The 12425-nt window shown below is 33.5% G+C and overlaps 1 long non-coding RNA gene and 1 pseudogene across 1 annotated transcript; one reads left to right on the forward strand and one right to left on the reverse strand.

Annotated features, from left to right (window-relative positions):
- Nucleotides 1-668: 668 nt before the first annotated feature.
- On the forward strand, nucleotides 669-9752 carry LOC124900853 (uncharacterized). Its single transcript, XR_007058454.1, has 3 exons — nucleotides 669-768; nucleotides 3538-4773; nucleotides 5992-9752. It is a non-coding gene; the product is annotated as an uncharacterized LOC124900853 (long non-coding RNA).
- LOC101927264 (UDP-glucuronosyltransferase 2B10-like) overlaps nucleotides 4930-12425 on the reverse strand; it is an 11258-nt pseudogene continuing 3762 nt past the window's right edge.

Below are 12425 nucleotides of genomic sequence, written 5' to 3' on the forward strand. Positions count from 1 at the left end.
TATTTGTTTATTTATCTTTAATTTTGTATTGTTATAGTTCTGCCAAATAACTTGTGCTCATTCCAGGCAGCTTTTCTGTTTAGTCATGAGAATTTATTTCTCTGCCTATGAGCACAAAGGAAAAGTTACTTGTGATTGAGAAGACGTTATATATTTCTCTCAACTATATAATCCAACACAAAACATTTTTTCATGTTCTTATTGGACATTTAAATATTCCTTGGTAAAATTCCTGTTTAGATCTTTTAAACATTTTTTGATTAAATTATTTGTCTTTTTAACATTGAGCTGTAAGCTTTCTTTATATATTTTTTATATAAGTCACTTATCAGGTATGTAACTTGTAAATATGTACTTCAAACTCTGGTTTCTCTTTTGACCTTATTGATGGTGTTCTTTAATGTGTAAAAATTTTAATTTTGATGAAATCTAATTTATCAATTTTATTTTGGTTGCTTCTTCTTCTGGTGTCATATCTAAAAACCTTGCCACATTCAAGATTACACAAAATTTTACTTTGCTGTATATACAGTTGTTTTGGTGCTTTGAAATATTAATGAATTCATTCTTTCAGCAACCCCATGAGGTCGGTAATGCTATGACAACCACTGCCATTTCATTGGTGAGGAAGTTGAAGCAAATAAAGTCCAAGTAACTTGTCCAGCCCCACATCATTATGTAGTGGTTTCTCAGAGGCTTGAATCCAGGCCATCTGGATCCAGAGTGCCAGCTCTTAACCACCACGTTATGCTGACTCTTCTATTTGGGGTACAGATATTTTCAAAATATAATATTCCCTATTTTTCACTTATGTAGCTATATATTAATTGTAATTTTATTACAAATGTATAATTTAAAATGTTTAGAACTATTATTCCAGTTATGTATCACTGCATGAAAAATTGTTTTCAAATGTCAGGCCTTAAAATAACTGTAATCATTTTATTACCATCTCTCAGAATCTGTGTGTTGGTTGGGCTCAGTTATGTGTTCCTTCCACAAAGTTTCTTAGGTAGCTACTTTCCTATGGTGCCTCGGTCTATAATTATCTGAAGATCATTCACTTACATACTTAATGATTCAGGTTGAAAGGCTCAAAGTACTAGTGGGCTACCAGGATTTCTTAGGCATATATTTGTGTCTCTCTGCCAAATTGTCATTTATTATGGGGACTACATATTGAATTGAGGAGATGTGGAGAGAAAAAGAGACATAAAAACAAAAGATAGAAAGAGAGAGAGAGAAGCGGAGAGGGAACATGTTGTTTCCAACAGAACTTTGAAAGTTAATCTGCATTATTTCCACTGCATCTTTTTTGTTGAGGCAGCTACAAGGTCTGCCAAACTTCAAAGGGAGGGGATATTACTTGACAGGAAAATTGTCAAAGTATTTATAGTCATGTCACAAAATCACAACCATTCTAACATTTTGAAGAAGACAGCAGAAGTTATTAAGCAATTGTAAGATTTATAAAATATTAAATATAATAAAAGAAAATACAAAAATTTTGTGAATTTAGATTTCTACAGTTCTTGCAATTTTTTAAACATTGTGTTATATTTATCCATAGGTATTTTAAACATGGAACCAGTGTTCTAAAAAAAAAGCTGCAAATGAATGAAATAGCATGTGAGAAACCTGATCAATTCAAATTTTTTGAATAACACTAATGAATTAATAAAGAGATGTTAATTTTTAGAGCTTCCTGTATTGATTTTATGTATTTATTTCACAAATTAATTTTTGAACCTCATAAATAATATATGAAAATATTGTAAAAAGTTAAATGCTGCAGAATTCTGTAGAATAAAATCTAAAATTCCCATCCTTGGATTTATGTGTACTCTGCTAGATTTGTTTTTCCTTGTACAAGTTTACATATATTTTATTTTATTTCATTGCAAGGAAGGCTTTTTTTTTCTGGAAACTATTTTTTCTATTTAGCAGTGGAATAAACTGTTCCCTACAATGGCTACACTCACACATTTGTTGGAGGTATGTGTGTTCATTGACTGGAGCCATTTAAGTGCTGGAGGAAATATTCTGTTCATACATGTGCTTATATGGAAGGATTTCTGCATGACAGGTTTCTAGATGTAGAACTTCAGTTTCAAACTGTATATTGACATTTTATTTTAGAAGGTTATTTCACATTATACTCCCGCAAAAATAGATTTCTCAGGTTTTTATAGGTTGCAAATCTTTACAGCATTAATTTTCCATTGTTTCTATTTTCCTGAGCATCAGGTACTTTATAATCTTTCATATGTTTTCAGTGATTTTGCTTTGAAGTGCCTATTTATATTTTCATTAAGTTTTTATATTGGAACATTTCCCTTTTTTGGTTGGTGATTGTAGTTCTCACTAAACAATAGATATCCATCTTTTAAGTATGATGTAGAATAGGTTTAATGTGAATTAATTCAGGCTTATAAGAATGATAACAAAAATTATTAACATTTACCACCTTATTATTTCTGTTTTTCTTTATAAATGTATCAATAGCTAGATAATTTGTATAAAATATTCTCTTATCAATGCTTCCTATAATTTCTTTAACATCAATGTTTTAGTGTGTTTGTGTATAACATGATTTATATATATATGCATACAAATACAAATCTACATATATAGTGATATATATGTGTGTGTGTTTGTATGTGTGTGTGTATGTGTGTATATATATATATATATATATAGTGATATGTATTTAAATCATGACTTAGGCTCAAGAATATTTGTTGTGAGTCTTGGTTACTTATGGGACTTCTGATCAACAAAGACAACTAGGTTTCTGTCAATTTGGACCAGTTTGATCATAAAGTGCTTTCCTGATGTGCAGATTAAAGGAGGTTTATGTCTTGATTTAGCTATTTTCCACAAAATTTATAAACTTTTTGTATTCTTTGTAGATATATTTTTGTTATGATAAAAAATTTAGTGTTGCCATATTATATTTATAGGAGGGAAGGATCAAAAGACTGTGGAAAAAAGAAAAAAAATTAATCATGATCATTTATAGTTATGTAGAATAATAATTATTATTTCAAACTGTCTTCAATAAACACATTTCACGACATACCTATTAGATAGTTAAGTGATGCTGTGTTGTGTTTCAAAAGAAATGGACATGTATATGTACATGCATGTTTAACAGGATTGAAAATTCACTAAGTACCTTTAGAATGCATTTCTTATATTATCACAAACTAATATTAAGAACTTATATTTTCTATTAAAGGACAAAAATGAGAATAAAACCTATATGAAATTTAGGATTTTTTTTCTAGTTCTGTTAAGAATGATGATCGTATGTTGATGAGAATTGCATTGAATTCATAGATTGCTTTTGGCTGTATGGTCATTTTCATAAAATTGATTTTACCCATCCATGAGCATGGGAGGTGTTTCCATTTGTTTGTGTCATCTATGATATTTTTGGGAAGTATTTTGTAGTTTTCTTAGTAGCGGTTTTTTACCTTCTTGTTTGGGTATATTTCTAAGTATTTTATGTTTTTCTTTTTCTTTTTGATTCAGCTGCTGTGAAAAGGGTTGAATTCTTGATTTGATTCTCAGCTTGAAGTCTGCATAGCCAAAGCAAGACTAAGCAAAAAGAACAAATCTGGAGGTATCACATTACCCAACTTCAAACTACTACAGAGCTGTAGCTACTGAAACATGATGGCAAAGGTATAAAAACAGACATGTAGACCAATGGAACAACATAGAGAATCCAGAAATAAAATTGAATACTTATAGCCATCTGATCTTTGACAAAACAAACAAAAACATAAAGCGGAGAAAGGACAGCCTATTCAACCATTGGTGCTGGGATAATTGACAAGCCACATGTAGTAGAATGGTACTGAATTCACATCTCTCACCTTATAAGATAGATGAAGGAATTAAATCTAAGACCTGAAACAATAAAAATTCTAGAAGATAACATCAGAAAGTCTTTTCTAGACATTGGCTTAGACAAGGACTTCATGACCAAGAACCCAAAAGCAAATACAACAAAAACAAACATAGATCGACGTGACTTAAACTAAAAATCTTCTGCACAGCAAAAGAAATAATCAGCTGAGTAAACAGACAACTCACAGAGTGGGAGAAAATATTCACAAACTATGCATCTGACAAATGACTAATATTCAGAATCTACAAAGAGTTTGAACAAATCGACAAGAGGAAAACAAATAATATGATCAAAAAGTAGGCTAAGATCATGAATTGACAATTCTCAAAAGAAAATATACAAATGGCCAACAAACAGAAAAAAATGCTCAACATCACTAATTATCATGGAAATGCAAATCAAAACCACAATGCAATACCACTGTCCTCCTGTAAGAATGGACATCATTAAAAAACCCCAAAATAATATAATATTGGCATGGATGTGGTAAAAGGAAACACATAAACTAGCACAACCACTACAGAAAACAGTATGGAGATTCCTTAAAGAACTAAAAGTAGATCTACATTTTTACCCACCTATCCTATTACTGGGTATCTACCCATAAAAAAAGAAGTCATTATATGCAAAGACTCATGCACACACATCTTTACAGCAGTACAATTCCCAATTGTAAAAATATGGAACAAACCTAAATGCCCATCAAGCAATGGGTGTATTAAAAAAATGTGGTATACACACACACACACACCGTGGAATACTACTCAGCCATAAAAAGGAACAAAATAATGCCATTCATAGCAACCTGGATGCAGCTGGAGACCATTATTCTAAGTGAAGTAATTCAGGATTAGGTAACCAAATATTTTAACTTCTCACTTACAAGTGGGAGCTAAGCTATGAAAATGCAAAGGCATAAGAATAATACAATGGACTCTCAGGACTCAGGGAAGGGTCAGAGTGAGAAGAGGGATAAAAGACTACACGTTGGGTGCTGTGTACACTGCTCGGGTAATGGGTGTGCCAAAATTTCAGAAATCACAACTAAGGAATTTATCCATCTAATCAAACACCACCTGTTCCCTAAAGTCTCTTGAAATAATTTAAAATGTAAGAATAAAATCGACCAGATGAATATTTTTAAATGACCAGAAAAAAATGGGTAAACTGAGGCTCACGGTGAAAGACTGGCTCAGCAGAAGGGTGGGACTGGACCCCAGCTTTCCTGACTTTTAGCCCCGTGTTCTTTCCACCACTCACTCACTCATTTCTTCATTTTTAATTTGTTTTATTTTTTGGACAAACATGTATTGATTTTCTTGGTATCATATGGAAAGTCTGAATTGGTTCATAGAGCAAAAGACTTTGTAAAATAGTTCAATATTACCGTAGGAAGCAGGTAGCAGTTGCTGTATTTCTAATTCCATATACATTCCACTGCGAAATGACTAAAGCTCTAAAAAGTTAAACATTTTGCCATAACTTTTAGGAAAAAAACTGACACTTAAGCAGTATGCACCGTAAGAGCCAAGCAGCAGTACTCATCTCAAAATAGCAAAAGCAAGAGAGACATTTTTTATACAATTCAATTGTTTAACAGTTCCTTTAGCAACAGTTAAAATATGAAAATCCTGCTTAAAATGAAGCCAAAGTATTCTGAGTATTTGCAAAACAGTACCGATACTCTTAATACTCTTGTGTTTAAGTACAATATGTGAAATGTACTTAAGCTCAGTAAAAATGTTTTCATGTAACCTGTGAATGGGAGCAACACATTTCAATATAAGCTCGACAAATTTAAATACAAGTTCATATGGCTTTATACTATTTTATAATTTCGCTAGTACTTTCCTTCTCAACAAAAAGTATTTCTAAGGTATTAAATCTCTGAAAAACAAATTTTTATTTGACAAGGTAAGTAAGTTTTGAAGAGATTTTCTGTCACAGAAAGAAAGGAATCTTGCTTCATAACCTTTCTTGTTAGAATAAACTGAAGAAGTCTCGTCTATCAGGTTTCCTAGCTTCAAGCTTCAAATACAACTACAGCTAATCTCTTTTTCCCTTCTTTCCAGTTCTAGCAAACTTCCAGACACAAAACATACAACATTTTGTGATGATAAATATCACAGTTGCCACATAGTCCAGCAGGAACCCAATCATATCCAAAGAGTGGTACTGGAACCAGGTGAGGTCACGGGCTGCAACCTGAAGGTGTTTGGCTCCTTTATGGCACATGACAAATTCAATCCAGAAGACTGCTCGATCCAGGGGCTTCACTGGTTGATCATGATAAATTCTTGATAACTTTATAATGTTCTCTTTATATCTGAAGGATAAATGTAGAGATACCAAAATTGAAAGTAAGTTAATTTGCTTGAGCATATCAAGTCCATATAAGGTTTTTATTTTGCTTATTTATTTATTTATTTATTTACTTATTTATTGAGATGGAGTCTTACTCTGTCGCCCGGGCTGGAGTGTAGTGGCGCAATCTCGGCTCACTGCAACCTCCGCCTCCTTTGGGGTCAAGAGATTTTCCTGCCTCAGCCTCCCGAGTAGCTGGGATTACAGGCATACACCAACACACCTGGCTAATTTTTACATTTTTAGTAGAGACGGGGTTTTTCCCTGTTAGCCAGGCTAGTCTCAAACTCCTGACCTCAGGTGACCCATCCATCTCGGCCTCCCGAAGTGCTGGGATTACAGGCGTGAGCCACTGCATCCAGCCCATGAAAGGTTTTTAAAGTGTCAAATGATTCAAAGTAAATGTCATAGAATTGACATAGAATTTGAGTAATTTAATTTGAATCATCATAGAAACTTTGGCTTTTAAATTGGAATTTTATCATTGACAAATATTTTTAAGGTAAAAATGGAAAGCCAAGTGAGAAAACTAATTTCTTTCAGGCAAAGCAAATATGAGCCATTTCATTATTATTTGTTAGTTTGTTAATTTTCAGTTTTTTTGGGTACTTAGTAGGTGTATATATTTATGGGTTGAGTGAGATGTTTTGATACAGGCTGCAATGTAAAATAATCACACCATGGAGAATAAGGTATTGTTCCTTAAGCATTTATCCTTTCTGTTATGAACAATCCAATTATACTCTTTTAGTTCTCAAACAGGCAAATGAGAACGTGCTCAACATTGTGAGCAATTTTAAGTCCTTTAGGAAAGATAGTGAAAATACAATTATCATTTTTAAGTTCCAAAAAGGAATTGTGTCATGGTGAGTGAAATGCCTCATAGCTAGTCACTCTGCTTCTACCCTACCCTTTTCTCTCCTACTGTTTCCTACCCAGCAGCCAGAATTATATTTTTGAAATAAAAGTCAGATTTTGCCACTCTCCTGATTAAGATTTTTGCCTGACTTCTTATCATATTAAAAATAAAATCCAACTCTGTTATTTGGTCTACAGGACCCTGCAATGTCAAACACTGGCAAGCTCTTCTCCTAACACTTTTTCCATGCACACTAGGTCTTCTAGAGACATTGCCCTTCTATTTTTCTTTAAGTTCCCAAAAGTATCCTCACCATAGCATCTTTAAACATTTTGCCCCCTCTGTCACACTCTTGGAGCATTCTTTCTTGCAACAACCCAAGGCATGCTTCTATCTCTTTTTGAGGCTTCCCTCTAAGTGTTACCTCTAAGCGAGGTTTTCCTGGCCACACTATGATGGAACCTCTAGGATTTTCTCTATTGTTTTATGCTTATTTTGATATTTGATTCCTAGAATTTTAAATACATTATATAACTTATAAAATAAATCTTTGAATATTAAAACCAAAAGATAAATATACACACACTAAGTGAATAGGTCACAAGTATTAGATCATCTTGAACATTATCTTGAAGAGAAGATACCAATTTCCCTACTGTTCAGATCATGATATATGATACCACAACCTGTCTAGAATAACTCTCTTTTCCTGAACCATTTAGTCACTACTTTTATCCTTCAGTTAAATATTAGTCTGACTTCAAATATAATACATTAGTTTTCTTTATTTATGTAATTGAATTATATAACATACATTCATTAGAGTCTATTTTTTAAAATTTTGTATAGCAGTTGTTATTTAATTCCATTGCTGTGTAGTATTTTGTTGATTGCTAAACCACAGATTATGTCATCATTTTATGACCAATAGACATTGGGGTTGCTAACGATTTTTGAACAATATTAATAATTCTGTTATAAACATTGTTGTATATGAAATGCAAGAGTTCTGCGCCTCCCCTCACAAGATGTGCGACAGCTGTGTGGCTCATCTGTTCAGCCCCCATTCATGTTCAAGCCCGTTATGGGAGGGGGAGCATGCAGACAGGCAGGTGCGGGAGCCTGGGCAAGCGCCCCTGGACTGTGTTCCCACGGCAGCATCCAGGGGTGGTTGTCTGCAGCTCCTGAAGCCCAAGTGGGTATGTGTTAGTGTACTCTTTTAGCCTTGCCATGTACTGATGGCTTAAGTGTTAACCAGTTCAGTGCCCTGTTAGTACTCAGGTCCTTGTCCAGCATCCAGGAAGAATCAGGTCGCACACGGACTTGAAGGATGAATGCATGGGTTTTATAGAGTGGTGGAGGTGGCTCTCATTGAGATGAATGGGGAGCTGGAATGGTGATGGAATGGGAAGATGATCTTCCACTGGGGTTTGGCCATCCAGCATCCAATCTCCTCTCTTTTCCAACTGTCTCCAGCTGAACTACTCTTGGCATTCAGAAACTCCTTCTCTTCTCTCTGATGCACCATTCTGCCATCCTTCTGCTCTTCTGTTCATGCTGGGTGTTTGGGGTTTATATGGGTACAGAATAGGGGGGCATTGTGGGCCAAAAGGCAACTTTTGGGGGCTCAAAAACAGAATGTCTGTTCTCATTTATGGCCATGAGTTTTCAGGCTTGAGGGTGGGACCTCTGCTGGGGAACTGACCTCTTCTACCCAGTATTTTCCTGTTTCCTGTCCATGTCATATATAGCACAAGGTTTACATATTTATACATATCTGTTGGGCATATAATTAAAAGTAGAATTGCTGAGATAAAAGTGCATGCATAATTATCATTCACTTCTTGACTTTTTTTTTATTTTTAATTCTTTAAACTTTTAAATTTATTTTTATTTTTATTTTTTTGAAACGGAGGTTTGCTCTTGTTGCCCAGGCAGGAGTGTGATGGCATGATCTTGGCTCACTGCATCCTCTGCCTCCGAGGTTCAAGCGATGGCTCACGCCTGTAATCCCAGCACTTTGGGATGCCAAGGCGGGTGGATGATCTGAGGTCAGGAATTCGAGACCAGTCTGACCAACACAGTGAAACCTCATCTCTACTAAAAATACAAAATTGGCCAGGCATGGTGGTGCATGCTTGTATTCCCAGCTACTCAGGAGTCTGAGGTGGAGCTTTAAATTTTTTGAAGTGTATATTTTTAATTTCCAAAATTAAAAGTATTTTAGTTATCATTTTTCCAATATCCCTTACTTCCACTTAGGCTGAATCATTTACTCTTTATGATATTGAATCTTTTCAAATTTACTGAGTCTTGATTTATGGCCCACCACAAGTCACTTCAAATAACTATTAATAATTCAACATGCTCTAAGAAAATGTGTCTTCCAGTTGACATATATAGTACATATGTGTGTGTGCATATATATATATGTATATATATGCGTGTGTGTATCATGTTACATTATAAGTTTCCATTTGTTAACTGTGTTCTTCTAACGTTTTATGTCCTTATTCATTATTTGCTTCTCTTTTTAAAGTCTGTTTAGATTTAATGGAAGTATCTGTATATTCACATTTAAATAAACCACGTTGTTTGATGTTTCTTTTATATTGGTCCAACCTGTTTCATGGTACAACCTGTTTTAAAAGTATTCCTTTAGGTGACATCTTTCTTACATAAAAATATTATTGACAGCAGTTATAAATGCTGAATGGATGGTAGCTGGACTGGGTAGGCATTTTGCACATTGCATCCTATGGAGTATAAATAAATCAATTACTAAAAATTTAACTTATTAAAATTAAAATTTTTGTTCTTCAAAAACCATCAACAAAAAAGTAAAATGTTAGCACACCCAGAATGAAACGAAATATTTGAAAATTGTATATCTGATATAAGATTATATCCAAATATAAAATAGTTCTTAATACTCAATAATAAGATGAGTAGCAAAATTTAAAAATGTTCCAAGGATTGGAATAGGCATTTTTCCAAAGAAGAGATATGGTCAATAAGCACATATAACGATGCTCAACATTTTTAGCCGTAATCCACCTAAAATCCAATCCAAAACCACAATGAAAGATCATTTCACACTCATTAAGAAAGCTATAACAAAAAGATAATAACAGGTGTTGGCAACAATGTGGAGGAATTTGAACCCTCTTGTACTGTTGGTGGTAATGACAAATGGAACAAGTACTTTGGAAAACAGTTTAGCAGTTCTTCATAAACATGCAGTTCCCACATAAGCCAGCAATACCACTTATAGTATCAACCCAAAAGAAAGAAAAGCATGTTTATGCAAAAATATGTGCAGCAATGTTCCTAATAGCCACAATTGGAAACAATCAAAAGGCCAACGAACTGATAAGTGAACAAATAAAATATGACATATCCATACTGTAAAATATTATAGTGCTGTAAGAATAAATGAGGTATTAATGTACACTACAACATGAATTAATCTAAAAACTATTTTAAAAAAACAAAAAATTATGCTCAGTGAAAGAAGTCATTTACACAACACCCCAAACTGTATGATTCTCAATGGCTTCATGACTCATAAGCATTCTAAATATATTGGAATTTTACACTTTAAATAGGTGGGTTTTAAGTCATGGAAATTATATCTAATTATCAAGCCAGTTACAATAATGAAAACAATAAAAATGAATTTTTCAGCAAGAAAACAGTTATACTGTTAGACATTTTAGATATTTAATTAAAGTATTTTATCATATTTCTTCAAGTTTATCCTTCCTTTCTACTGTGGATTGATCATATAATTTCTTTAAAACTGTCTTTTTTATATTCTCTATATTACTTTAAAATTATTTTTGTGCAGAAAATTGTTTCACTAATTGGATACCCATTAAATGTGTGGAGTTGAAAACACAATTCTTTAATAACTGCTCAAAAATAAAAGAAGATTTCAGATTGGTTACATCATTTAAATTCTTTCAAAATTAGTCTCTTGAAAAAAGGATGAAACTCATACTATTGAGAAGATAAGGTATCTATAAATACCACCTAGTGAAAAAATATTGTTATACTCACAAAGGGTCATTAATTATTGGCTTCATGCATTGAACAAGTCTGTACTTGACATCGTGTGGAAGTCCAATCTAATAGCTGTGCCCTTGGCCTTCATGTGAGAAATGTTATCAGGTTGATCCGCAAACAGTGGAATCCCCATTATAGGAATCCCATGGTAGGTCACCTCGTAGATGCCATTGGATCCACCATGAGTTACAAAAGCCCTGGTTTTTGGATGACCTAGGATTGGATGAATTTTAGCAAAATTATTCATAGGAATAAAATGAGAAATGCACAACTAAAGACTCAAGTGACAGTATTTTCTAGCTAAAACATTGAACTAAATTAAAATTTCTGTTTCAGACTTCAGAGGAAGGAGCACTTATGCTGGAGATGTAAGTGAAAGCTGTATGGTGTGTGTGACTTCAGACTGAAAAATAGTTAAACAAGATTACCAGTTAGACTAAAGAAAAAGCGCAATCTAAATAAAATGTGCAAAAAAAAAAAAAAAAAGAGCAGCAAAGAAAAGAGATGGACATGTAAGAATGTGTTCTCCTAAGTGCAGTCATAGAATGTGATATGTGAGATGTGCAAGGCAGCAGGCAGTGGGGTGGTGGTGGTGCTAGGATTGAGGAAGGACAGGTCACACTTCATCACAAAATGTGTCATCACTTTATGATTAAGATTAGGAATTTAATACTACAGAAAATGCAGAGTCACTGGTGATAGCAGAAGAGCTGTTATTTTTGAAATAACCCTGCATAAAAAGAAAGAACAAGTGTAAAGTTATAGAAATAGGAGACAAAGACGATCTATGAAGTTACAAAAAATTCTGTGAGACATAATAACACCTGAAATAAAAATACTCTGATTCTGACCATAAAGAAGGTGAATGTATATCATAAAATGCCAACAATTATAGCTTATTATTTTCCCCATAGGACTGCAAAATAAATATAATGTAGTTGCATTTTATTTTTAAGTTTTTCCATAATGCATTTTCAATAAGCTTATTTCATGATTAATTATTAATACTCTAATGGGATATTACTAATACATTCAGTATTTGTACTCCAGAGTCATACCAAGAAGGTCATTCTGTGGTATCCACTTGTACACCCAAGTATTGAGTCCTAAAGCATGTGGTTTATTTCCATCAAATCTCCACAGAACCTGTTACAGTAAAGAAAATGTCTTATTCCATGAGTAGAACTCCAAAGTTATAGAATGTTAGAACTCTAA

This window comes from Homo sapiens, chromosome 4 (assembly GCF_000001405.40).
Source record: "Homo sapiens chromosome 4, GRCh38.p14 Primary Assembly".
Taxonomy (NCBI): Eukaryota; Metazoa; Chordata; class Mammalia; order Primates; family Hominidae; genus Homo; species Homo sapiens.